General features: G+C 40.2%; 1 protein-coding gene and 1 long non-coding RNA gene across 10 annotated transcripts in view, besides 1 other annotated feature; one reads left to right on the top strand and one right to left on the bottom strand.

The window, feature by feature from the left end:
- Positions 1–27,712, bottom strand: part of CCDC146 (coiled-coil domain containing 146) — a 172,590-nt gene that overhangs the window by 46,184 nt on the left and 98,694 nt on the right. For 5 of the 9 annotated variants that reach the window (XM_047420662.1, NM_020879.3, XM_047420664.1 and 2 more), the window contains 2 exons: positions 11,992–12,074; positions 7,121–7,330 (listed from right to left, as the gene is read on the bottom strand). The exons of 1 other annotated variant lie outside the window; for it this stretch is intronic. In XM_047420662.1, coding sequence (XP_047276618.1) covers positions 7,121–7,330; positions 11,992–12,074 — 293 coding nt within the window. Of the gene's footprint in view, positions 1–6,590; positions 7,088–7,120; positions 7,331–11,991; positions 12,075–27,712 lie in introns of those variants that run through there. 3 more of the 9 variants (XM_047420665.1, XM_047420668.1, XM_047420667.1) reach the window with 3 other exon arrangements.
- On the top strand, positions 313–27,711 carry CCDC146-AS1 (CCDC146 antisense RNA 1). The gene is made up of 2 exons (XR_007060387.1): positions 313–3,695; positions 25,867–27,711. It is a non-coding gene; the product is annotated as a CCDC146 antisense RNA 1 (long non-coding RNA).
- Positions 1,666–1,715: a silencer, noted in NCBI's record as "silent region_18319". NCBI's record gives its function as "represses an Ori minimal core promoter by ATAC-STARR-seq in GM12878 lymphoblastoid cells {active_cell/tissue: GM12878}" and the evidence as "EXISTENCE:reporter gene assay evidence [ECO:0000049][PMID:35858748]".

The raw sequence follows: 27,712 nt of genomic DNA, 5'->3' as shown, positions 1-27,712 counted from the left end.
TCAATCAATTGGATATACTTGGCATCTATAGAAAGAAATGTCAGTTTTTCTAAAAGCCAGTCATCATTGTAAATTGAGATTAACAAACAAAAGAAATAAAAACATTAGAAAGTACAGACAGTGAATGGGAACATATGGTTTTGTTCACTTATTCATGAGAAAATACAAAAAAAGTTTATATTTTTATTTTAACTAATAAGATGAGAGGACACGATGCTAGAATGACATTTTGGAAATTGCTTCAAATAGCTTGAATGTTCTAAACAAAATGAGTTCGATATAATTGCGTGTTTCTTCCAATAACCGTATTTTGAACTGTTTTATTGACCAGATTTCCTGAAGAAATCTAGAGAAATATTTTTCATTTTTCTTGCTATTCTTTATTTAATGACTAACTATTAAGTGCCAAAGAAGTCATATGATTTCCCGATATGGAAAGATTTTAAAGTTTGTATTGATCACACTTGGAAAATCATATGAAATAAATGAATACACAGACAATTATGTCCACTGGTTATAACAAATAACCAGATCCCACTAGTCCATAGATCTAGGAACATGAGCTAAAAGCACATGCACACCAGGTTTTCTCATTTGTATACATTTAAGGGATACAAGTGCAGTTTTGTTACATGGATATATTGCAGTGTGGTGACGTCAGGGCTTTTGGTACAACCATCACTCAAATTATATACATGTATACCCATTAAGTCATTTCTCATCCTTCACCCTCCTTCTGTCCTCCCACCCTTCTAAGTCTCCAGTATCTACTAGTCCACACTCTACGTCCACGTGTACACATTACTTAGCTCCCACTTATGAGAACATGTGGTATTTGGCTTTCTGTTTGTGAGTTTTTTTCACTTAAGATAACGGCCTTCAGTTCCATCCATATTACTGCAAAATACATGATTTCATTTTATGACTGAATAGTATTCCATTGTATATATATGTCACATTTTCTTTATCCAATCTCTTGACAGACACTTAGGTTGATGCCTTATCTTTGCTATTGTGAATAGTGTTGCAATAAACATATGAGCGCAGGTATCTTTTGGATATGATTTCTTTTTCTTGGGTATATAGCCAATAGTAGGATTGCCAGATGGATTAGTAGTTCTATTTTTAGTTCTTTGAGAAATATCCATGCTGTTTTCCATAGAGCTTGTACCAATCACATTCCTAGCAACAATGTATAAGTGTTCCCTTTACTCAGCACTCCGCCAACATCTTATTTTTTATCTTTTTAATAATAGCTATTCTGACTGGTATAAAATGATATATCATTGTGGTTTTAATTTGCATTTCTCTGATTAGTGATGAACTTTTTTCATTTGATTCTTAGCCATTTGTCTGCTTTTGAAAAATGTCTATTTATGTCCTTTGCCTACTTTTTAATGGGATTATGTTATTTTTGACATTTTATTTGCAATAATGTAGATGAATTTTGTAATACATGTGTCACATTGAATTTAATATAGATTAGTTGTCTAGACCACAAATTGAAGCTGAGTTTAGATCTTTAAATAGTTATGCCTTTGCTTTTAGAGCTTGCATATACATTAGTGGTATTTTACTTCCCAGGTATTGATCCTACACCTCGGGCATGCTGCCACCAGGGGGTAGTAGTGTGCTACTATCTTTCGGTTGTAAAGGCAACCTGAGTATTTCTGAGTTTCAAAATGGTGACAGCAAGCTCTTTCACAAGATGTGACTTATGGTCTTTCCTTTAAGTATATTTTTATGTTTAAACAAACATAAAATGACTAATTCTTTAGGACATTTAAAACTTACATTTCTATGATACATTTTTCTTTTTTTATTAGGAAATACTGACTTATTTCCTCTAAAAGGAATGTATTTTTCTATTTTTAAAGATTATAATCCTACTCCATCACACATGGTTGATCATTTTTATTTTCCCTGTTATCTTTTAATAAACTTATTTTAAATGTATATGTGTGGTTGAATCCATTTTTACCTAACATTTAATTAAAATATTTTCCTAAGTTGCTAAACAGACTTTATAATAATAGCTATTTACAAGGTTTTCTACTGGGTAGATATACCATAATAAAATAATCTTAAGTATTATTTATCATATACTGAACATACTGTGTGCCAGGTGCTTTAAATTTATCATATCTAAAATTCACAACCTTGCTAAGTAGGAATTGTGATTTTTGTTGTACAAATGAAGAAACTGAGGAGTTAAGCAACTTTTCCAAAGTCACACAGTCAAAGCTAAACTGACACACAAATACCGCTCTGACTACAGAGGTTCAGTAACAAGGTATTTCTGGAATGCATTATTTAAATATTCCACATTTTTTGAGAATTCAGATTGCTTCCAATTTTTCACTTTCATAAATATCAATATCTTTATGCATTATATCTTTTTCTCTCCTTTTGGGTTATCACTTTTGCATGGGATTACTGGGGCAAAAACATGTTTCTGTTTCTATGCCTCCTGGTATGTATTAACTCCTAACCTTTCAAACTTGCATTAAAACTTAAATCTGACATTTTTCAGCTTTCCTGACTAAGGGGTGCTTCAACATCAAAGCTCCTTAGGATTTACTTCCTTTCTAAAGCAACGTCAAAAGGCTTTTGGTTTTAAGGATCTATGGGTGAAGAGATAATGCAGGAAGCCCGATATGCTGACATGTGTGAGAGGCATCATTCACCACAGAAGTAGAAACAGCATGGATGGGTGAAAGTTGCAAGAAGGTAGGTTTATAAACAAATCCAACAACCATTTAAGTGTAGGAGCATTTCCAAAGTTGGCGTGAGCCTCTGTGGGAGGCTGAGAGCTTCCTGTCACTGGAAGTGTTTATGCATAGACTGAATGATCACTGAGAGGAGACTCTGGTGACTGACCAGTCAGGGCTGAGAACCACCTTTGGAACCCACGGTCCTCTAACTATAATGTGAGTCAGAGTCACATAAGCAAATGTCACTTTGGGTGGGGGCGGTGGGCTGGGGCAAAAATCATAATCATTACTTTTTGGATGGGATCTTCCTTTCAAACAAGTGTCTCAGGTGCTTCTTTTTGAGTAATGAGAAACACATTCAGAGAAACCTGTTCTAACTAAGTTAGTTCTTTTAAGATATTTGTTGCCACAGAAGAGCAAACTTTTTTTTTTTTTTAAGTTAAGGTAAAATCTGTTCTAGCTATGAGTTTTTCCTTGTGACTACTCCTGAGTACCTACATGCCTCTTCTGTCACATTCTAATTTTCTGGAATTCCAGATGTGTTGCTAAGATCATTCCTCCTTTCCTTTGTTACCAGATCTGTTGTTTCTTGGTTCCAACTTTGCTATCAGCACTGGACCAAGAATGGAAAACAACTAATAAACCCTGAATGTGCAACAAGGACCACAGGAACCAGCCACGGGAGAGTAGACAGTCACCAAGGTCAGGGTCACGTCAGGACAGCCCTGCACGTGTGCGGCCTGAGTGTTCCCACTCTCCGGGTTCACAGTGCAACAGACAGTGCCAGCTCACCACAGCCTTGTTTCCCCCAACTGACCAAGACTGGTCAGAATGTGTCAGATTTTGCATGAAAGACGCAACGTATTTGCTGTAAAATTTTAGGAATTACTAGAAAACAGGGAAGCCCCAAAAGGTAACACAATCAAGGCAAGGCAAAGGTTGAAGAGAGTACTGAAAAATCTTTTCAAACTGTTTAGAGAGGTAAGTACTCCTGTTTTGTTTCAAAAAGTAAGCTCAACTGTATTTAATTACTTTATTATGGATTTACAATGTATTAATTTAACTTTAAATAGATTACATATTATTTCCTGAACTGCATACTTATCAAGTCATAAATATTAATCCAGAAACAGAAACTACTGCAACATAGATTTAATTACTAACCAACCAACCAACCAGATAATTAGATTTATTAACATTAAAAGATTTATGTTATGTGAACATACACAAAAAAATTGACAAAATTACACAGTAAAATCCTTTCTCTAGAGTATTTGAAAAATAAGTTGTTCTTAGTAGTTGCCAATGATTCAGAAGTTCCTGAAGATATTGGGGTGGAGGAGTGCTAGTTATTTGGGCTTCTATTATCTAGAAACTCAATAAGAGTTTGTTGTGCTGGTCTGACAAATATCATCTGTATATGTGGATGAATAGTTTTCTCTCATTAGCTTCATCTCTTTATTTTTATGTGGGGATGGAAATATCTACTTTTTCCAGGGGAAGGAGGTCAGTGGGAGGGTGTGGAGGGAATTGGTTTCTGTGTCATGTGCAGTCATGTGCTGCTTAACAATGGGAATATATTCTGAGAGACGCGTCGTTAGGCAACTTCATCATTGTGTGAACATCACGGAGTGCACTTACACAAACCTATGTGGTGTAGCCTACTACACATCTAGGCTATGTGGTAAAGCCTACTGCACCTAGGCTATAGACCTGCATAGCAGGTTACCGGACTGAGTACTGTAGGCAATTGTAACACAATAAGTGTTTGTGTATCTAAACAAAGAATACACACAGTAAAAATATGGCATAAAAGATAAAAAATGGTACACCTGTCTAGGGCACTTACCATGAACGGAGGTTGCAGGACTGGAAGTTGCTCAGGGTGAGTCAGTGGGTGAGTGAGTGAGTGGTGAGTGAATGTGAAGACCTAGGACATTACTTACACTACTGTAGACCTTATAAACACTGTACACTTAGGCTACATTTATAAAAAATATTTTTCTTTGATAATAAATTTACTGTAACTTTTTTACTTTACAAAATTTACTTTTTTCAGCTTTTGACTCATAACACAGCTTAAAATACAAACACATTGTAGAGCTGTGTAAAAATATTTTCTTCCTTTGTATTCTTATTATGTAAGGTTTTTAATTAAATTTCTTTTTACTTTTACATTTTTGTTAAAAACAAAGACATACAGGAGTTCAAGACCACCCTGGCCAAGATGGTGAAATCCCGTCTCTACTAAAAATACAAAAATTAGCTGGGCATGGTGGTGGGCATCTGTAATCCCAGCTACTCAGGAGGCTGAGGCAGAGAATTGCTTGAACCCAGCAAGTGGAGGTTGCAGTGAGCCAAAATTGCACTACTGCACTCCAGCCTGGGCGACAGAGCACGACTCTGTCTCAAAACAAACAACAACAATAAAAATAACAAAAACAGACATAAACACACACATTAGCCTAGGCCTACACAGGGTCAGCATCAAAGTCATTATTTTCTGCCTCCACATCTTGTCCCACTGGCAGGTATTTAGGAGCTGTTATCTCCTATAACAATGCCTTTTTCTGGAATACCTCCTGAAGGACCTGCCTGAGGCTGTTTTACAGTTAATATTTTTTTCATAAGTAGAAAGAGTACACTCCAAAATAAAAATAAAATGTATCGAATAGTAAATACTAGGCAAAAGTAAATTTTCAGCTTCATTATAATGTTACGGGACCACCACCATATAGACAGTCCATTGTTGACTGAAACACCATTATGTGGTGCATGACTGTGATACTAAATATGTTAAGCCAATGAAATGCATAGCCCTTCATTCTTTACTGGTATTTCTTTTGGCATCACCATTACTTTTATGAAAATAAGCTTGTTCTTGAGCTGTTAATATTTGAGAATGCAAGGGAATCTTCTCAAGCTTAAGAATGATACATTATAAATTCAAAAAGAATACACACTAAACATTTCTGCAAATGTGCATTTTGAATGTTCTTATTCACCGCAGGTCAGTATGCATTGTCTCCTTCCCATCTCAGTGAATAATGTGCCTGTCTATACCTAAAGGGCAACCGTTCTGGTTTTTGTTTTTGTTTTTTTCTCTTGGCAGGAACAGTTGGAAATTTTAAACAATTTAAATATCAACTGACTTATGTTCTTCTTACTCTTTCATGGAAATGTCAAGCATTCATATTTTCAATGCTAATGAACAACCACCAATTGTTTTAATTTCATTATTTTCTCAACTGAAAGAGCACTTACAGAGCACAGAAATAACTGGGCTTTCTTTTTATATAGATCTCACTGGTAAGCCTGAAACAAGTTTAGATTGAAAGACAAAAAAACCTCCAATTTTCCCCCCTGAATAGGATCTCTTGATTAAACTGACCTTCTTTATTCACACCCCACCCCCACCCACCGCCAGTGAAAAAATAGGCCCCAAAGAGAGGATTTTAAACCCAGGGCTTACAAGGTCTTTGAGAGGTTGCTCAAGTCACTTGCTTATCTCTAGGAAGGACTGAATTATATTTGCACTGTCAGAAGTCCACCTACTCTTAAAAATAGCCAGAGAAAGTTCTGCCACCTTAAATGGTAACAAACTCTAGGAGAAACGGTTTTGCTTTCTCTCCTGTACCCAGGCACAGCACACAGCACACCACAGCAGAAAACTTGAATTGCAATCATTTTCAAATTCAATCTAAATAGTATGACTTGCTGAACAAACTCCTCCAGTGACTTGCTACTCCATGGGGGGAATGTTAGAAGAGATTTTGAAGATAACATTTCCCCTTTTAGCACTTAATGTCTGCTTTAGTTCACTAAATGACGTCCTCTAAATTTGGATAAGTAAATGTGTCTTCCAAAAGGATATACCTTTTCTCCTTGATCCTGAGGAACAATCTAGTAGTAGGAGATGAAGTTTGCATATGTGGTCCTGTTGCTGCTCTCTTAGAAGAATAGAGTGAGCCAGATGACATGTGACCCTCAGCTCATGGAGGCTTGTTTGGAAAATGCATGTGGGGAGAAGTGCTCACCATGCAGATGCGTGCTCTGGTACTGCTATAGTCATGGGATGAGGGGGCCACTGCCAGGGCAGGGGAAGGGCAAGGGAATGCTAATAACTGGTTTGGTGGAGTGTGTTCTCTGACTGCAGCTCTCAATGAGATGGCTTTCCTGACATGAAAAACACAGCAGGCATCTCTGTCACCTGAGCTTTTATTCGAGAAGTGTAACTTTCTTGTTCAGGGAATTCCCATTCCATTCTAAGGAATCAAGAGAACTAGGTTTGCAATCATCATCGTACTGCTATCTCCTACTCCTTCAATTACCTCCAACTTAATCTGATTTTTTTCTATTTATGAGGAAAAGACTTTTCAGTGTGCCGGAGAGAACTGTGCACTTACCTATTTAATCTGTACTGATTATGGAACTCTCTTTCCTTCACTGCATTATATTCATTTTGATACTTGAGAAGTTGTTCTCTCATTTTGGAGACCTCCGTGGAGAATGCTTCTGGAAAATTATCAGCTTGCTGCAGGTGAAACTGCTGCTGTTGTATTTGCTCAGTGAAACGTTTGGCATTCTGTAGCAGTTGGACCTCTGACTCTTGTGTGCTGGGTTACATGAAAAACAGAGACTCACATAATGAGACATGTACATCCTCGGTGGCTCCTGTGGGGGTCTAGTGAGGATAGCTGCTCCCCACTCCTCAGATCAACTCAACTCTGGGACATTTTTGTGCCAAGTCAGTTGACCCTTCATGTCCGTGAGTCCACATCTGTGGATTCAACCAACCACGAGGGAAAATTTTTGTTAAAAAATTGAGTCTGCTTCACCTTTGTGGTATTCTCCTCCAAAACACCTAACTCTGGCCTAAATATGAGAAAAATTCCAAACTGAGAAATGCTCTATAGAATACCTGACTGGCACTCTTAAAACTGTCAACGTGGCCGGGCGCGATGGCTCATGCCTGTAATCCCAGCACTTTGGGAGGCCGAGGCAGGCGGATCACAAGGTCAGGAGATCGAAACCGTTCTGGCTAACACAGTGAAACCCCGTCTCTACTAAAAATACAAAAAATTAGCTGGGCATGGTGGCGGGCGCCTGTAGTCCCAGCTACTCGGGAGGCTGAGGCAGGAGAATGGCGTGAACCCAGGAGGCGGAGCTTGCAGTGAGCCGAGATTGAGCCACTGCACTCCCGCCTGGGCGACAGAGTGAGACTCCATCTCAGCCGAGATTGAGCCACTGCACTCCCGCCTGGGCGACAGAGTGAGACTCCATCTCAAAAAAAAAAAACCCAAAAAAACAAACAAACAAACAAACAAAAAAAAACAAAAAATGTCAACGTGATTTAAAAAAAACAAGGAAAGACTGAGAAATTGTCACAGAGATCAAGGAGAGATGAGGGCTAAATATAGTGGGGTATACTGCATTGGGTCCTGGAACAAAAAAAAGAGCATTAGTGGAAAAACTGTTGAAAATCTGAAGTTTAATTAATAGTAATATACGAATGTTAACTTCCTAGTTTTGATGGACCATGGTTATGTAAGATGCTCCCATTAGAGGAAAATGGGTGAAGGATAGACGGGAACTTCGTATATTATTTTTGCAACTTTTCTATGAATCTAAAATTATTCCAAAATAAAATGTTTACTTAAAAATTGTTTATTTACTGAACATGTACAGACTTTTCTTGTCATGATTGCCTAAACAATACAGCATAACAACCATTTACATAGCATTTATATTGTATTAGGTATCACAAGTAATCTAGAAATGATTTAAAGTATACAGGAGGATGTGATTAAGTTACATGCAAATACTATACCATTTTATATCAGGGACTGGAGTATCCATGGATTTTGGTATCTGCAGGAGGTCCTGGAATCAATCCCCCAAGGATACCAAGAGATGACTGTACTATGCTAGGTGCAAGAGGTGAATAAGGCTTAGCTCCTAGCTTCAAGAATCTTACAATCTGGCAGATGCGGAGGAATACCAGATGACAAGTACTACCGCTGGTGTCCAGATCAAGACAGCAGGAGACAACAGAGAAAGGATCACTCAATGGGAATGTGACATTTGAACTTGACTTTGAAGAATGATTATGACTTACTAGAAGGGGATAAATGATACGGAAAGAGGAGGTTTTCCCTTGAACTCCCCAAACAACCCTAGCTCTCTTGAATTCTTGTAACATAATTGTAGGAAAATCTCTCCCCACTTAGTGAACTATGAAAAAACAGAAACTTTTCTAATGGCACTTTATTAGGAAACTAGGAAGAGAAATTCCCATACGCAATTATGAATATAAATAAATTTACAGATTTCTGATTCTAAATTGGACACTGGTTAGAGCTGGATGGACTTGAAGGTCACGGTAGAGGGAGATTCCTACAACCCCAGTTATATTCTATGACCTTGGCCCTATGTAGGGAAAAGGACTAAACATCTGTCAGAGGATGTAGAAAAAGGACATGGCGGAATCTCCAGTATCTTATAGAACTCCTCTATGCTGCAAGCTAGCATCAGCAAGCATCGGCTCCAACCTTACCAGTAGATATGATTCCTCTTTCCCAGAAACCCTTATATTAGCTACCTCTCCTATTTGAAGTAAGCCCTCACCACTTCCTGTTTTAGAGCCAGAGCTCTCTTTTGATGTATGCTCCCCACCAACTGTCCTCACCAAGATAAATCTTCAAGTTCCAGCTCATTTGCAGAGACGCCCAATGACTTGATCAAGCCAATCTCAACTGAAGTTACCTTGTGTCTGCCTCACCTTTGTGATATTCTCAATTCAGTACAGATACATCCATTTTCCCAGGTTTTATAATGTCATTTGCTCAATAGCATCTAGCAAAACATTTACTGGGACATAACACGTTCCAGGCATGATGTTAGGTACCAAATAGCAACAACAATAGCTACAGTGATACCTCAAATAATTTTCATTAATGAAAGCTGGAATTATTCTCCTATAATTCAATTTTCATGTATGCTAATAAACTTTGTAAATCTAAAGTTATCTGGTCTCCTTAATAGGTCAGGCTTCAGCTATTGAAATTGTAAGCTGTTGGACCAGGCTACAGTGCCTGTTTTTGCATAGAAAGGACAGGGTGGTAGGGTTCCAGCCAGAACACAAATCGCAACTTACCCACATGTATTTAAAACATGATACCAGTAGAAGAGACTTTAACAACTCTTATAACATGGTTTCTATGGAAGACTCATTCAGTTTCAGTTCAATATTTCCAGGCTATATCTGCCCAGCTGTAGTCCTAGCAGCACGAATGAAGAGTCTACTTCATGTTTTTCCCACCCATCAGGCATTGGGAGTAGGAGAGAATGGTGAGTATTTGCAATGGCATTAGAGGGAACTAAGTGGTCAAGATGTAAAATGTGGGTAGCAGAAGGGAAGTTAACTGTTTTGCAACACAACCTGGAAGAGGAAGAAATAGTGCCATAGCTGAGGTCCTGCATTGCTACTTGTCATTAGGGGCCAGGGAACTGAGTTGTGGGCCAGGGGAGGAGGAAGTTAAGTCAAAGCACCCTGCAAATCTCCACTGGGCTCTAGATAAGAGCTATCCAGGCTGGGCACGGTGGCTCACGCCTGTAATCCCAGCACTTTGGGAGGCCGAGGCGTGAGGATCACAAGGTCAGGAGATTGAGACCATCCTGGCTAACCCAGTGAAACCCCATCTCTACTAAAAATACAAAAAAATTAGCTGGGTGTGGTGGCGGGCTCCTGTAGTCCTAGCTACTCAAGAGTCTGAGGCAGGAGAATGGCGTGAACCTGGGAGGCGGAGCTTGCAGTGAGCCAAGACCAGGCCACTGCACTCCAGCCTGGGTGACAGAGGGAGACTCTGTCTAAAAAAAAAGAAGAGCTATCCAGAGGGCAGGAAACACTGATATTCCTTGTATCTGCAAAGAGGATTGGAGGGATGCCCAGAGAACTGCATGGCATTTCCTCTCAGTTAAGCAGTGTGAAGTATGTTGTAAAAGATTACTCCAGACTTTCCACTTAAAGTCTCAAAATTCCTGAGCCTTGAGAACTCTGAGAACACACTGGCAGGCGTGACCAGCTACGGGGGAATGGAACCTCCATTAGGTGTGGGGGTGAGGACTTGGCTTGGGCTTGAGGATGAGGAACCAAGGCTGGGGGCTTTGGAGGGGTGTGAGGAACCTGGGTGCACTTGAAGTTTGCATAGGAATGCAGCTCTGCTCTTTTCCAAGTTGTTCACTCTTCCCTCATGCTTTTACCCTCAAAGTAGCCAAATATCTCTGGGCAAGATAAGAAGGAGGGGAAGTGATTGGGAATTGCGGGGAGAGGATGGCTGGGGAGTGGCAGCATGGAGTTTCTATCTGTTGCTGTTGCTCCTTGGCTTTTGATGAAGATACAATGCAAGGCCCTGAGACAAGAGGTGGGGGAAGGAAAGAAAGAGGCTTGGGAGTGGTAAAGAATCACAGCACATTAGGGTTTTCCCTCTTTCTTCACTCCCCTGCCCTCTTAATTCCCAGTGGCTAATAGCCAGTGCTCAGGCAGGCTTGCTGGACTCTTCTATGATAGCCTGTTCTTCTGACCTGTTGGTGATTGGGACTTGCAAGGTGTAAGTAGCTTGTGATATGGGGAGGAGGTGAGAAGTACAGACAGGGTCTCAGCAGACTCAAGCTGGGGTTGTTGGAGAATCTACACCTCTGAGTGATGAACAGACACGGGAGAAGAGTCCTGCAGGTGTGTCCTATGCAGAGACTGTCAGTGTCCCACCAGAATCCTTTTGCCCACCTGCAGCTTTAGTGGACAGTTACCATATGTATCAGCAGCACCTGTGTCCCTCCGCCTGAGAGCTGTCTCTGGCCATCAAAGTTTGCTTGGTTTGTCAAAGCGCAAGCTGGAAGTGCCAAGAGCTAATCTCCCTGGAAGTAATTTGTAATAAATGAGTGGTGGAAACTGGTGGGCAAATATTCCAGTTTCCTCACTCTTCAGTGGGAGAGTGCTGAGGTGAGCCACTCAGAGGCTCCTCTGTGAGGCTGAGCCCCAGTAGCCCATCATATAAACTCGCAGATGTACACGGCCTGATCAAGGCTAGATTCCTTCCTTCCCAGTCGCACTTCCCCACTCTCTCACGATGCTTTCTCGTACCACTTCTCAAACTCCCTGAACGCAAATCCTTGCCTCAGGGTCTGCTTATGGGGGAATGCAAATGAAGACAGGTCTCATCACCAGTAAGAAATTTAAAGGTGATTAATCATGTCTCCATATTGGTAAATTGCATACCTCATCACGGCGTCATGCAGCAAGGTATACTTGGCTTTTAACGCTGCCATTCTGGTTCCAGGAAGTTTTCCCATAGCATGTAACTAGCAAAGAGAACATAAGGTCACTGTTAATCACCATTCTCTTTAGGCTTAAGCAGGGGATGGAATGGATATATGGTTATCTTATAAAATCCTCCATTAAACATTAGAGGATACACGAGGCAATGTAGTGTACTGGAAACATGCCAGGTGTTTGGAGAAAATAGTGCTAGTTCTATTCTGCCCCCAGTACATTCTGTGTCCTCAGGCAAGTCTTTTCAACTCCCTAGGCTGTTATTTCTTTGTCTGGAAATTGAGAGGATTGAGTTAAATTCTTCTAACTCTAAAAAAAATTTCAAGGTTTAACAAACAATCTGAATAGTGTAGATTATAGGTTGGCTATTTGTAAGTTGAGAAAATGAATGGTTATTGAACAGCTATTAGAGTATGTGTTGCCCATCAGTTATTTCATTCTTAAAAATGTTGTGAAATAAAGATTATCATCTCCATTTGAAACTAAAGTTTAGAAAAATGATTTGTTCAAGGTTATAGAGCTAGTTAAAGGCAGGGTGAGAATTTAAACCCAAGTGGTTCAGCTCCAAAAACCCACGATCACTCCCCTGTACCGTGATGCCTTTGCCTCTGCTGTCAAAGAAGCATGGAAAGTTTTCCAATGCATAAAGAGGTACTATTTATTCCCATTTTATTTCTAGTTAAAATGACTTTTGATCTGTTTTCTGAGTTAGGTGATAATTAGTTAACAGACATCATAAAACATCGTCAAACACTAAAGTTTTACCATCCTAAAATCATAATGCAATGAGCATTTGTATTAGGTTTGACTTCAACTGCTAGTGACAGTATCAAAATAGAACTAAAGAGAATATTTGTGTTTTTCAGCCCTGTTGTTCTTACATTTATTTATTTATTTATTTATTTATGACGGAGTCTCACTCTGTCGTCCAGGCTGGAATGCAGTGGTGCAATCTCGGCTCACTGCAACCTCTGCCTCCCGGGTTTAAGTGATTCTCGTACCTCAGCCTCCCAAGTAGCTGGGACCACAGGGGCACACCACCACGCCCAGCTAATTTTTTGTATTTTTAGTAGGGATGGGGGTTCACCATGTTAGCCAGGCTGGTCTTGAACTCCTGACCTCAGGTGATCCACCCACCTTGGCCTCGCAAAGTGCTGAAATTACAGGCGTGAAAGCCTGGCCCTTACCTCTAAAGTGCTTATTGAATTCATCCACTTTCCTCTTCCTTCCCTGATCCCACTGGCCCAAGTCTCATCATCTCTCAATTGGACCACTACTAAACCTCCTAACTGCCCTTCTGCCAGGGAGATCTTTTTAAAAATCAGACAAGGTTATGTTATGCTGGGTGATCAAAACACTTCAAGTGGAATAAAATTCAAGACCCTTGGTATTCAAGACCTTGAGGTCCTGCCTGACCCCAACACCCCCACAGCCTCCTTTCACAACACACTCTTTAAGCTCCCAGTGCTTCATTGCTTCTGCCACACTGGCTGCCTTTGATTTCCACAGATGTATGAGTCTCTCTTTTTCTCCAGGGCCTCTGATTAGTCATTCCTTACTCCCCCTACTTCACTCCAAGTCTTTCTTCATGTCTCAGCTTAAATATGAATTCATAAGAAGGCCTTTTCTGACTTCCAAATCTAAAGAAGATAACCACGTGTACTTGCTCCTACCTCTAAAGAACGCTGAGCTTCATAACATTACAATCTGCAAGAATAAATTTACTTACATTATTAAAAACATTTTTATACTTCCCCAGCTAGTATATAAGACCTATGAGGAAAGGGCCCAGATTACCTTGTCCTTCACTGTATCCTCAGCCAAAGTATTACTAGAATCCCAGGCACAGTATAATCCCAGGCACAGTATACCCAGGTGCTAGGTAAATTGCTTATATTTGTTAGCAAATGAATGAATGCAGCTATCAAAATGCAAAAGTCTGAGTCTATACAGTGGGGTTTCGTGGTCTTTCTACCCGCATCAGGGTAGAAAAATGTTAAATGCATTATGAAACCATTTCTTCTTTGTGAAAGTGTTGGGGATCTTTCATGAGGGCCATACTATCTGGTGCCAGGCCTGGCTTCCAATCCCTACAACCCTCATTATTTTTTTAATCTATGGGTGAAATATGGTGAACAAGATCTTTAAGACCTTTGAGGATACTCTACCTGTATCAAATATCTTAAAATCTATTCATATGCCACCTTAAATATAATTTATTTATAACTTTTTTTTTCCCCAGAGATGGATTGTCGCTCTGTTGCCCAGGCTGGAGTACAGTGGCGCTATCTTGGCTCACTGCAACCTCTACCTCCCGGGTTCTAGCAATTCTCCTGCCTCAGCCTCCCAATTAGGTGGGACTACAGGCGCATGCCACCACACCTGGCTAATTTTTTGTATTTTAGTAGAGATGGGGTTTCACCATGTTGCCCAGGCTGGTCTTGAACTCCTGAGCTCAGGCAACCCACCCGCCTTGGCCTCCCAAAGTGTTAGGATTACAGGCGTGAGCCACTGCGCCCGGTCTATTTGTAACTTTTTAACTGTTGAGTTGCTGTTGGTAAGTCGACTTAATGTTACATTTTACAGATATTTATTTTGGTTCTGCAGTATTTTTTAGCCAATATATAATTTATTTCATGTTTCAAACATTTTCATTGGTTTCCCAAAGTATACAGACCATAGTTACTATGGCTTTAAAATCTAATAAGTTAAAAAAAAAAAAAGCCTTTACAAATGGACACACTTAAAGGAGAAAAGTTGCTGGGAAAAGATTATGAAAAGGTAAATATGTGAGTGTGTGTTTGTATGTATATGGGTACAATGAAGACCAACTAGGGGCTAGCCCAGTAACTAGCTAACCAGCCATTTTCTGAAGGTAAACTACTGGGTAAGGTAATTGTGGACTCAAATATTCAAAAAAACAGATAGTATTTAGTTTTGTTCTTAAGCTAAAAAGACCATTACTTCCTACTTAATGCTCCCTGCATAAAAAAAACAGAAATGAATATAACATAGGCTCTGCCTTAAGGTAGGCCAAAGTTTGAAGAGATAGATACAAAAAAAAAAAATGATAGAATACTGAAACTACATTCTGCAGTTTTATTTTAAGTAAATGATTGTATTTGGCATTTTGCAATGTTTTAATATTGCAAGTTAAAGCAGGAGTTCCCAGCCCCTGGGCTTTAGGAACTGGGCTGCACAGCAGGAGATGAGCAGCGGGCAAGTGAGCATTACCACCTGAGCTCTGCCTCCTGACAGATCAGCAGTGGCATTAGATTCTCATAGGAGCATAAACCCCATTGTGAAATGCGCATGTGAGGGATCTAGGTTGTGCACTCCTTAGGAGAATGTAATGCCTGATGATCTACGGTGGAACAGTTTCATCCCAAAAGCATTCCTTCTGCCCCACGGAAAAATTGTCTTCCACGAAACTGGTCCCTGGTGTCAAAAAGGTTGGGGGGCTGCTGATTTAAAGCAAATAAGTAAAATTATAAATTACAGACCAATCCAGGGGGTGGGTGGGACTTCCAAAATGGTGGGATGAAGAGTTTGATGAATTCTCTCCTTCAAAGAAACATTGATTTGGCCGGGCACTGTGGCTCACGTCTGTAATCCCAGCACTTTAGGAGGCTGAGGCGGGCAGATCACCTGAGGTCGGGAGTTTGAGACCAGCCTGGCCAACATGATGAAACCCCATCTCTACTAAAAATACAAAAAAAATTAGCTGGGCATGGTGGCGCATGCCTGTAGTCCCAGCTACTTGGGAGGCTGAGGCAGGAGAATCGCTTGAACCCCAGAGGCAGAGGTTGCAGTGAGCTGAGATCACGCCACTGCACTCCAGCCTGGGTGACAGAGTGAGATTCCGTCTAAAAAAAAAAAAACAAACAAAAGAAACAAAAGAAGCATTGATTTAACTGGTCAAAATAATCTGAGACAACCATTTAAAGTCTCTGGAAATTGACCTAAGGTTATATAATAAATTGAGAAACACTTATTCAATAAAATCTACTGAAGCTCAGCAAGAAACTGTGGCATTTGAACCATGGGCTGCATCCATCCCTCTAGCTTCAGGTTTCAGAACTATTCTGGGCAGGCTTGCAGCCAGTGAGGTGCCCATGTCCCCCACTTTCCTATTGCTGAGGATCAAGATCTATCCCAGGTGAAGATCTAAGAAACGGTAGCACTCAGCACTCATCCTCCCCTTCTTCCCCATGGGCAGCTGTAGCTGTTCGGTAGTGCCAGTACTCACTCCCTAATGTCCTGCTCTACAGGGAGACCCTGGGCAGGGCAAACAAAACAGATCAGAGTTCCCCATATCCCCAGCTCCTGCTCAGTAACACAGAGGCTCTAACCAGGTTGGGGGCTGAGCAAGCTGTGAGGACTTGCAGCTCTGCAGCCCTGCCTTTGACTTTATTTGGAACAGAGTGTAGGATATTCATGTCCCAGAGCAATGTAAAAAATAACAGACATAGAAAAACAGATATCATAAGGGCTAACAGAGTAGGCTAATAGTTTTGTGATGCTAATAGATGCAGACCAGCAGAAGTTTAACAGAGAAATTGGGACGAGGGACAGTAAAAAAATTCACACTTGATACTGGTGGTCCAGGAGACTGTGGAAAAGCCCACGGCTGTGACCACCCAAGATCAACCAGACAGGGTACTTCCAAGTCAGTCCCTGAGTTAAAAGTGGCAGATATATAAACTCCTCGAACTCCAAAAGTTGTTCCCAAGCCACACACAGACCCAGTGGAAAAGGATGAAAACCTTACTGGCTCAGTGAGCTTAAGCGTGACCTCTGACCAATCAGTGACTGACCGAGGGCAACACCCAGGAATTCAAGTTTAAAAACAAAAAAACAAGGAACAACTATCTAAGCAGAGACATTAGAGGCTGCCTACTGCGGGGGAAAAATATACTTCACAGTATTAGTCCAGCCAAGTCACTAAACAAATAAATAGATGAACAACAATAACAAGAACAAAACAGCATCAATAAGCCTGGGAAGGATCAGAATCCAGAGTTGTTACAATATATGACCTAAAATGTCCAATTTACAATGAAAAATTATGAGACTTGCAAGGAAACAAGAAAATATGACCCCCATCCCATATAGTGAGATCCCCAGTTCCTTTCTGCAGAGGAAAAAAAAAAAAAACAACAACAACAGGCAGAAACTTTCTTAGGGAGGATGCAGACGTTAGATTTAACAAAGACTTCAAAGAAAATATTATAAATATGTTTGAAGAATGAAAGAAACCATGTTTTAAAAATTAAAGGAGAGTATGATGACAATGCATCAAATAGAGATTGTCAGTAAGAAGAAATTTTTAAGGAGCTACACTGAAATTCCTAAGTAGAAAATCATAATTGAAAAATTCACTGGAGGAGTTCAACAGTAGATTTGAGCAAGCAGAAGAATCAATCGGTAAACTTGTAGATCAGTAGAGAAGGCAGTAGTGCCCACTTATTCATGGGGGATGTGCTCCAAGACCCCAGGAGGATCCCTGAATGGATAGTACCAAACCCATTTATGCTAGGCACAAATTTATTTTCCCTTCTTCACAATTCACAGATAAGATTTGTTCTTACTGTAGATCTTAGCAATCTCAGCAAACTTTTTTTTCTTTCCTTATTAAATTGAGAACTTTCACTTTTTCACTTAAAGAAAGCACTTTATGGCTTCTCTTTGGCGTATCCAAATTGCCACTATCACTGATCTTGTGCTTTGGGGCCATTATTAAGTAAAATAAGGGTAACTTGAAGACAAGCACAGCAATCCTGCAACAGTGGACCTGGTAACTAAGACAGCCACTAAGTGATTAATGGGTGGGTAGCATACACAGTGTGTACATGCTGGACAAAGGGATGATTCACATTTCAGGTGGGATGGTGTGGGAACATGAGAGATTTTATCACACTACTCAGAATAGCATGCAATTTAAACTTATGGATTGTTTACTTCTGGAATTTTCCACTTAATATTTTTGGACCATAGTTGACCACGGATACCTGAAATCGCAGAACATAAAATTGCAGATGGTGGGGGGGACTACTGTATATAATTTGAATAACAGAGAGAAAAAGCATGAAGACACACAAACAGATTGTCACAGAAATGGAGGACATTAATCCCACTAAATTACAAGTAATGGGAGAACTAGAGAAAAAGAGAACAGAAAACAAACTTAAAGAAATAAAAAACTTTGCAAATGGGATGAAAACATATTCAGGAGCTCAAAGAATCCCAAGTAGAATCAACAAAAAGATATTCACATTCAGATACATCACAAACTGCTGAAAGCCAAAGATAAAGATAAATCTCCAAAGCAGCAAAAAGCAAAACAAAAAACCCCAGCTTATTATGTACAAGGGAATCACATAAGAGTAACTTCTCATCTAAAATAATGGAAGGGAGAAGGCAGTGGCTGACACATTTAAAGTGAAGAAAAAACAGACACACACACACACACACACACACATACCTGTCAACCAAGAATCCTATATCCATCAAAAATATCTTTCAAATAGGAAGAGGAAATAAAGACATTCCAATATAAACCAAAATAGAGAAAATCATTGCTGGCACACCTGCCTTATAAGAAATAATAAAGTAAGCTCTTCATGCTGGAAAGAAGGAACAATAACTCAAATCCACGTGAAAAAGCAAAGAGTGTACTCAATTAAATTGAAGATATATGCTCATATAAAAGCTTGGACACAAATATGGCAGCGTCATTCATAATAGTAAAAAAAAAGAGAAACAACCTACAAGTCCATCAATTGACAAATGGACAAACAAAAAATATATATCCATAGGATGGAATATTCAGCCATAAAAAGGAATGGAGTCTTGATACCTGCTGTAACATGGATGAACTTTGAAATCTATACACTAAGTGAAAGAGGCAAGACACCAAAGGCCACATATTATGTTATTCATTTATATGAAATATCCAGAGTGGGCAGATCTTTGGAGACAGAAAGTTGATTTAGTGGTTTCCTACACATAAGACAACTAGTGTGAGGGGAATGACTTTTAATGGGCACAAGGTTTCTTTGGTGTCACGGAAATATTCTACAATTATGCCATGATTATACAACTCTGTATATATACTAAAAGCCATTAAAAACACTTTAAAAGAGTGATTTTTATGGTAAACTCAAGAAAACTTTAATGTCAATTACATTAGAAATCAATTTTCTGTGTAAAAGAGATACAATTGTAAAATCAAATTAGTGAAAACACTACAAAGTTAAAATTGAATTGCAAATACAAGTATGAACTAACTCATGCTTAAAATTTTTTTCCCTAGCTTTGTCCATTAAATAGCCTAGACCGCACACCTACAACTATCTGATCTTTGACAAACCTGACAAAAACAAGCAATGGGGAAAAGACTCCCTATTCAGTAAATGGTGCTGGAGTAACCGGATAGCCATATGCAGAAGATTGAAACTGGACCCTTTCCTTACACCGTACATAAAAATTAACTCAAGATGGATTAAAGACTTAAATGTAAAACCTAAAATTATAATAACCCTGGAAGACAGCCTAGGCAATACCATTCAGGACATAGACACAGGCAAAGATTTACTGATGAGGACACCAAAAGCAACTGCAACAAAAACAAAAATTGGCAAACGGGATCTAATTAAACTAAAGAGTTTCTGCACAGCAAAAGAAACTATCAACAGATTAAATGACCTACAGGATGGGAAAAATTTTTGCAAACTATGCATCCGACAAAGGTCTAATATCCAGCATCTATAAGGAATGTAAATTTACAAGAAAAAGCCAAATAACCCTACTAAAAAGTGAGCAAAGGAAATGAACACTTTTCAAAAGAAGACATACATGTGGCCAATGCCAACAATTTTATGGAAAAAAGCTCAACATCACTGACCATTAGAGAAATGCAAATCAAAACCACAATGAGACACCATCTCACACCAGTCAGAATGGCTACTGTTAGTTGGGGGAGGGAGAGCATTAGGAAAAATAGCTAATGCATGCTGGGCTTAATACCTAGGTGATGGGCTGATTGACAGGTGCAGCAAACCACCATGGCACACATTTACCTATGTAATAAACCTGCACATCCTGCATATGTACCCCAGAACTAAAGATAACAATTTTTAAAAAGTCAAAAAATAACAGATGTTGCTGAGGTTGTGGAGAAAAAGGAATGCTTATACACTGTTGGTGGGAGTGTAAGTATTTCAGCCATTGTAGAAGACAGTGGTGATTCCTCAAAGATCTAAAGACAGAAATACCATTTGATCCAGCAATCCCATTAATGGGTATATACCCAAAGGAATATAAATTATTCTATTATAAAGACACATCCATGTGTATGTTCATTGCAGCACTATTCACAATAGCAAAGACATGGAATCAACCTAAATGTCCATCAGTGATAGACTGGATGAAGAAAATGGGGTACACATACACCATGGAACACTATGCAGCCATAAAAAAGAATGAGATCATGTCCTTTGCAGGGTCATGGATGGAGCTGGAGGCCATTATCCTTAGCAAACTAACACAGGGGCAGAGAACCAAATACCACATGTTCTCACTTATAAGTGGGAGCTAAATGATGAAAACACATGGACACATAGAGGGAAACAACACACACTGGGGCCTGTCAGAGGGTGGAAGGGAGGAGAAGGGAGAGGATCAGGAAAAACTACTAATAGGTACTAGGCTTAATACCTGGGTGATGAAATAATCTGTACAACAAACCTCCATGATACAAGTTTACCTACGTAACAAACCTGCACTTGTATCACTAAACTTAAAGGTTAAAAAATATATAATGGTCTAGAAATAATGCCACATTAACAACAATGAGCACTCCTAATACATTTTGGTCTTTAATCTTATTTCCCACTAAAAGGAAGCAGCAAGTGTTAGAAATGGTTGATTTCAGGTCTGGTACAGGGAAGACACAAAGTGAAGCTGAGACATCTTGTTAAGCCAGAAAGCAAGAACTGTCCGTAGAAGATGATCTTATTTTACATATGAGTATGTGAATATATAGAGATCCAGAAGGATAAGAACTAAGATGTTAAAATGATGTGCTCTGGGTAGTAAGAATGTGCTGCTTTTATGTTTTTATTTTTGCTTGCCTGTGTTTTCTAATTTTTCCAATATGTATTACTTTTAATAACAAAAGGCTATTAAAAATGTGCTTGCAGACTATCACTGTAAACAAGAGGGAATTAGAGCAGAATTTAGAGAGAATTAGAATTTAGAGAGTACTGTGATCAGGTCCTAGTGGCAGATATAGGCAGATTCTAGCTCTGACTTACTGAATGCTCAACTGTATTTCCCCTAAGTTGAGTCCCATCTTTAACAGCAATGGTGGCCAGGCGCCGTGGCTCACGCCTGTAATGCCAGCACTTTGGGAGGCTGAGGCAGGCGGATCACGAGGTCAGGAGATCGAGACCATGCTGGCTAACACGGTGAAACCCCGTCTCTATTAAAAATACAAAAAATTAGCCGGGCGTGGTGGCAGGCACCTGTAGTCCCAGCTACTCGGGAGGCTGAGGCAGGAGAATGGCATGAACCCAGGAAGTGGAGCTTGCAGTGAGCCGAGATTGCACCACTGCACTCCAGCCTAGGCGACAGAGCAAGACTCCGTCTCAGAAAACAAACAAAAAAACAGCAATGGTTTGAAGCCTAATTGTAGGTGGGCCAAGGATACATGTTGGCTAGTTTTATGGCCACAGAAAAGCAGGAAAACTACAGAGGTTTCCTTTCCTGTTTTCTGTCTCTATCATTCTGCTGGCCTTTGGTGCCTTACAAACCTGCAAAGAAAGCTGACAGGGTAAAACACCTGAATATGTTCTTGCAGTTTCTACATAAATTGGAAAAGGTAAAGTCATAGATGTTCAGAATGTTAGTTGATAAACTTTGTTATTTCAGTCTCCTCTAAAAAAACAAATCTCTCTTAAAAAAACTAAACTGTGGAGAATAGATTTTAGCTGCCTTAAACATAAAAAATCATAATCTAGACGTCAACATTCATCAAAAAGTGACTTTTCTGTGAAATTATAAACTGTCTCTTTAAGCAGGTCGATCCCTGGTTAGAAACTTCACACTAAGTTCTAGCAGATAAAAATGCTTCACTCATAAACAATATCATACATGGAAAATGGTTGCATTTTCACATTGCATGATACAAGTGGGTGCAGAACTCAAGTTTGTCATGTTTCAAAAATGCAGAATCTAAGAAATATAGCACAAAGTTCAATCTTAAATTGTCAAAGAGCATACACAATGAAAGGTTAGATATAATGTCATAAGTTCATAAATATGATTTCACAATAGATTCTGTGTTATTGAATTGCCCTGCTGGCAATTATGTGACTGGAAGGAAACATTTACTCTAGAGATAAAGTTTAAAAAGAGTTCATGATTCATGGATGACATGTAACAATATGGAAAAAATTTCAAAAATGGAAATTCTAGGACATTTCAAGGAAGTAATAGCTCAGTAAGAGCTTTCACCAAGTGAGTTTATCTGGAAGGGGGTCAGCATGAGGAAAGAATTAGGTGTTTGCGTGGGTGTGTGCAGGGAACCTGGATTTGTCCAAGGTGGTCACAGCTATTTGCCTACCCTGTTCTTGTGACTTCTTTGACATTACCTAGTGGGTTGGCTTCATTCTGGGGAATGGCTGGCATGCTTTGGAAGGTAATATAAATGTGAAAGCATAAGTGGTTACCACTCTCATCTCCCTTTCGCCTGCTCCCCTCTCACTGCTGGAAATAAACAATACGGCCATTTCAAGTAGTTTCCAAATGCATTGAGCTCTCAAAACTGCTTCCTTTGACTTTTCCCATAGGTTATCTCAAGCTTTAGCTTTCTCACACACCTAACTCATTCACAGAAAATATTAGGCCACATATTCCTTTCCTCCTCCACCTGTGCTTTCAAATATATGCTCTCCTACCTTTTCCTAGGCATTGAGTCATCAGTAATAGCTTCTCTCCTTTTAATCTCTACTCCTTCCTTTTTTTTTTTGAGATGAAGTTTCGCTCTTGTTGCCTAGGCTGGAGTGCAATGGCGCAATCTCAGCTCACTGCAACCTCCGCCTCCAGGGTTCAAGCGATTCTCCTGCCTCAGCCTCCTGAGTAGCTGGGATTACAGGTGCCCGCCACCATGCCAAGCTAATTTTTGTATATTTAGTAGAGACGGGGTTTCACCATGCTGACCAGGCTGGTCTTGAACTTCTGACATCAGGTGATCCACCCACCTCGGCCTCCCAAAGTGTTGGGATTACAGGTGTGAGCCACCACGCACGGCCCTACTTCTTCTTTTTTACTGGCTAGCATAGTCTAGTAGTCAAGTATATCACAAGTCAAGTGGATTTTGTTTTGAATTATAGCTCTGCTAGTTTTTGTTTTTTTTTTTAAGGCAAAGTCTTGCTCTGTTGCCCAGGCTGGGGTACAGTGGTGTAATCATAACTCACTGCAGCCTCGAACTCCTGTGGCTCAAGCGATACTCCTGCCTCAGCCTCCCAAGTAGTTAGGACTACAGGTGTGCATCACCATGCCCCGCTAGGTTTTCTTAAAATGTTTTGTAGAGATGGAATCTCACTACGTTGCCCAGGCTGGTCTCGAACTTCTGGTCTCAGGCAATCCTTCTGCTTTGGTCTCCCCAAAAGTGATGGGATTACAGGTGTGAGCCACCATGCCTGGCCAGCTTTGCTATTTTTTAAAACTATGTAACTTGAAGTGATATTTAACTAGTCCTTGCCTCAGTCTCTTCAGTTGTAAGAGAGAAAAAATGAATCAATGTACATATGTAGTATAATATCTTAGTGTACAAATAAAGTCTTAATCAGTGTTAGCTATTTTATTATAATCATTATCATTATCTTCAACCTATAAATTTGCTCATCTCTCTCATTTCAAAAACAAACAAGACAAAATCCATCTTGGGCATAGTGCTCCCATTTAATTACCTTCTTTCTCTCCTTGACTTTTCATTTCAATTCTTCTCAAAAGAGTAGTCTCTGCTCTGTCCCTTCATTCCCTCCCCTTTCATCACTCAGCAACCTGTAGTAACCAGACTGCCAGTACACTATAAATTAGTAAACTGACTGAGGACTTCCTTACTTGTCTTCCTTGAGTCTGTCCTGCATGCTGCCAGCAGAATGCTCCATCGAAACACAATTCTCACCTTGCTTTAGACCCTTCAAAGGACCTCATCACCTTCAGAATTAAGTCTAGGCTCCTCAACATGGTGTACAAGGGTCTTCATTATCTGGTAGCTGCCGCCTTCTCCAAACCTGTCTCCTCCCTCTATCTCCCATGATGCTTTTGGTTCTGTAATAGCAACTACAATTCCTGTGGTAGGTAGAATAATCTCCCGCATCCCCCAGGATGTGCATGTCCTAATCCCTGGAACCTGTGGATGGCTTTCTTCACATGACAAAAGAGACTTTGCAAATGTGATTAAGAATGGCCCCTTGAGATGGGGAGATTATTGTGGATTAACCAGGTGAGCCCAATCCAATCATGTGAGTACTTCAAAGCAGAGAATTGTTCCTGGCTAGATTTGAGACATGAAATGAAAGGAGAAGGAGGAAAGATCTGAAATATGAGAAGGACTTGACCTACTGTTGCTGACTATGGAGGAAGGCGGTCATGAGTCAAGGAACGTAGGTGGCTTCCAGAAGCTGGAAAAGGCAAGCAACTAAATGCTCCCCTGGAGCCTCCAGAAAGGAATGTAGCCATGATTACACCTTGATTTTAGCCAACTGAGGCTCAGGTTGGACTTCTGACCTACAGAATTATTAGATGATAAATTTGTGTTTAAGCCACTAAGTTTGTGGTAATTTGTTATGGCAGCAACAGAAAACTAATACAGTTCCTAAACCATACCATGTTTTTACATGTTATTTCTACCTATCTGCAATTTCTTTTCTCTCTTCTTATCTACTTGGAACACTCCTATTACTCCTATTCTTCCTTTAAAGCATCTCAGTGGCCACCACCTGTGGCTCCTTCAAGTGACACCTCCAGGTAGAATCAATTAGTTCTCCCTACTGCTGCTGTATTTTCAGATGCCTCTATTATTTCACACGTTGTACACTGTGGTCAACATGTTTAAACATTTACCCCCCCATTAGACTGTGCATTCCTTGATGACAGGAACCCTGCTCTATTCATCTTTGAGTCCTCACACATAATTTGACATCCTATAAGTGTTTAATAATTTCCATTAACTGTTGTTGATCTAAGCTTATCTTAAAACCAATGATGCAGTTAAAAGAATTCATGTTTATTCACTCACTTCCACTGCAATTTATCTGTCACACAAGGCAAATGTAAGAGATGGAGCAGAGCAAGGTAATTTGGCCTGTCCATAGGCCTGGAAGAGCAAAGTGTGCCTTACAAAACTAGCTGCCTTGCTCACAGCTCTTCTGCCTTCTGTGTGGTTGGCAAGGTTCACAGGATGAGCAGAGAACTCTGGGACTGTTCTCTCACAGCTGTTTGTTCCTTCTTTGGTGGCCACAACAGGAATGTGAGGGGGAGGTCAAAGGGGGCAAACGGGGCCTCCCAAGAGTTAAGAGAGCAAATGCGATGGGCAAGGTGGGTGAGTAATGCAGGTGCTTAGCCACATGTATGACTTCAAAGTTGCAATAATTTTAAGATAAATAAATAAAAATCATGCCTAAACACATCCATGCCAATAAGTGTCATTCCCTTTAAGTCACCCACATTTGTCCTAGTGAAACTGCAGTTGCTTAGACCTTTAACAATCATTTAACCCATGTTTAAAATTATTTCCTCTCTACCTCCAAGGATCCTGGGGGGAGATGGTAGCAGGTTGGAGTGGCTGTGAGCCCGAGAGGCAGGAAATAAGCCAGACTGAAACCCATATGCCTCTGTCAGAACTTCAAAGACTGAACCAATGGTAAGAGCAAAGAACCTAACAGGGCCAAAGCTGTGAAGCGTATTCACATAAGGATCAGAACACAGTCGGAGTCAGGAAACAGAGCCAGGATAAAACCACTAGAATAAAGTCACAAAACATTAACCAGAAGAGGCAGGGAGTGGCCTGGGTACCAGAAGGAATTCTGTTGCAGGATGTGACGGACTAATCAGTGTTTAATCCTTCCTAGGCAGAGGCTCCACCACCGGTGCATCTGTAAAGGCCTGGAGTGGGCTCAGGCAGTGAGAAACTGGAAATGGAGCCTGGGCCCTTAGAGACCAGAGCATCTCTCATACAAGGGCTACACATGTATGAAGAAGATGTACATAGCTGGTCATTTGTTACCTCACTTTGTTGATCACAGACAAAAGCCACTTCCCTGACCTTGTCCTAAGGGATTGTCATTGTAAATGTGGGTGAGCCCAGAGAACAGTGGGCTGGATCCCTGGGTTTGGCTGCTTTCTATGCTGCCAAGTAGTGGACACCCACCTTTCAGGCCCCCTTTTATGTGCTGAGATCACCTCCCTTCTTAGCTGTCTGTCAGTATACCCCAGCTCTAGGCTGCAAGACTTCAGTGTGGGGACAGAGGTGCTCCCCACAACAAAGTCTGGGACCTCTGGTGCCCCACCTTCATGTTTTGAAGATGCTGTTTCACCCAGCGTTCTTTCCAGTATTCATCAGTAATAGTGCATTTAGCATGGAGGCATCCCCGAGTGCCCTTCACTTCCCCTTCTGCCAGGCAGATTGTGATGAACAGTGAAGCCTTTCACGGCTACTCACAGAAGTAGTCTTTAAAAAAGAACAAGAACTCAAAATTGCAACTTGAACTTCCCCACTGATACCATAAAATGGAACTTGGGAGCAGAATATAAGGATGTTTGAGTTCCACTCTTGCTAATTCACTGGTAAGGGGGCTTGAAATCCTGGCCGCATGTTTAGACAAGTCTACTCTGTTAAATTATTTCCCAAGTACTTTATTCTTTTTGATTCTGTTGCAAATGAAATCTTCCCCTCAATTTCATTTTTTGGCTCATTTTATTGCTAGTGTATAGAAGCCATTCAGTTTTGTTCGCTGAAATTCTCATTTGTCATGTAAATACAGGGCAAACCTCAGAACTCAGGTATGAGCCCTTTTATGTTTTCTGCAAGTGTTTCGTTTTGGGTGAATATCTTTGGCTCTTTTGTTCACTTGATAGATCCTGAGCATCTAGAACACTGCCTGACACTCAGGTTCTCAAAAATGTTGAATGAATCAGGCCACCATCTCTCATGCATTTCTCCATGAGAGCACTTATTTTTATGTGTTGAAATCATGCTCATATGTCTGTCCATCAGATGGGAAGTGCGCTGAAGCCAGGGATCATTCTAGTGTCCTAAGAACCCTGCACGGTACATGTCACACACCAGGTGCTCAGCACATGCCTGAAGACTCTATGGCTATGTATCAGGGTGGGGGTGCAGCATGAAGGGTTGAGCATATCACCAAAGGAAATCTCAATGTGTGGTGTTCCCTTTCCACATCCACATGTGATTTGGGCCACTCATAGAACTAACACCAGCAGATTAAACAGTGTGTATATGTGCATGCCTGTGTATGAAGGAAAAAGAACATAAATTTGATATTTATCATGGGTCATATGGACTGGTTGACTGTATGTAGAATACACACTTGCTATACAGTTTGGAATGGATATTAAAAGCCTTTGAATTGAAAAC

This window comes from Homo sapiens, chromosome 7 (genome assembly GCF_000001405.40).
Source record: "Homo sapiens chromosome 7, GRCh38.p14 Primary Assembly".
NCBI lineage: Eukaryota > Metazoa > Chordata > Mammalia > Primates > Hominidae > Homo > Homo sapiens.
Note: the sequence above shows the minus strand (reverse complement) of the source record. Positions and strands in the feature narration are given on the sequence as shown.